Source organism: Homo sapiens, chromosome 9 (assembly GCF_000001405.40).
Source record: "Homo sapiens chromosome 9, GRCh38.p14 Primary Assembly".
NCBI lineage: Eukaryota > Metazoa > Chordata > Mammalia > Primates > Hominidae > Homo > Homo sapiens.
This window is the reverse complement of record NC_000009.12, coordinates 126,009,599-126,010,981: the sequence shown is the minus strand read 5'-3', so window position 1 is coordinate 126,010,981 and position 1,383 is coordinate 126,009,599.

The window sequence follows — 1,383 nt, the reverse complement described above, 5'->3', positions numbered from 1 at the left end:
CCACAGCTGTGTTTCCTCGAATGGCCTGCCCCTCTTGATGGATGAACGCATCAGACCAATTTCTGGCTGAGGGTGTGAGAAACTTGGCCAGAGAGTCAGGGGGCAGGCTCTCTCCTCTGTCCACCCTTGGCAATGAGGCCTCACCTGCTGTATTATTTTGTTCTTGAATTGCTGTAAAGAACCACCTGAGACTGGGTAATTTATAAAGAAAAGAGGTTTAGTTGGCTCACAGTTCTGCAGGCTGTACACGAAGCATGGCTGGGGAGGCCTCAGGAAACTTACCATCTGGCGGAAGGTGAAGCAAGCATTGCTTACGTGGCCAGAGAAGGTGGAAGAGAGAGTAAAGCGGGGGGAGTGCCACACACCTTGACACAACCAAATCTCATGAGAATCACTCACTATCACAAGAACAGCAAGGGGGAATTCCGCCCCCTTGACCCAATCATCTCCCACCAAGCCCCTCCCGCAACACTGGAGATTACAATTCGACATGAGATTTGAGTGGGAACACAGATCCAAACCATATCACCTGCCATCCTGGGGGAACACCAGTGCAGCCCATGCCTAAACGAGCACAGCCCCAGGCATCATCCTTCCTGTGATGTACCAACCCCAGCCCATTCCAGAACCCCTCGCCTGCCCCTTCCAGAATAAGAACTTGCTTCAGAATCTGCGACTGCCAATGAAGCAGGAATCTAAAAATATAAAAATTATAACAAATATGCACAGTGAACATTCTCATGTCCAAATATTTACATACACCCACACACACAAATACACTCAAAAGACATAGATATGTGGAGGTGTGTTTGCATCTATAAATCTGAATTTATTCACAGAAATGGTGGTATCATATGCTTGCTTACAGGACTAGAATTGGAACTGACATAAAAATAAAGGGTGAACTACTCTTCAAAAGTGTCAAGATCATGAAAGATAAAGAAAGACCGAGAGACTGTCACCAATTTTAGATGGCTAAGGAGACACGATGACTAAATGCAATGTGGTATCCTGGACTGGATCCTGGAACAAAAAAGGGCATCCATGGAAAAACTGGAAAAATCCAAATAAAGTCTGTAGTTTGGTTAATAGCATTTGATATGGTTTGGCTCTGTGTCTTTGCCCAAATCTCATTTTGAATTGTAATCCCCATAATCCCCACGTGTGGAGGGAGAGACCTGGTGGGAGGTGATTGGATCAGCTTCCTCCATGCTATTCTCATGATAGTGAGTGAGTTCTCACGAGATCTGATGGTTTTATAAGCCTCTGGCATTTCCCCTGTTTGTACTTCTCTCTCCTGCCACCATGTGAAGAAGGTCCTTGCTTTCTCTTCGCCTTCAGCCATGATTGTTAGTTTCCTGAGCCATGTGGAACTGTGAGTCA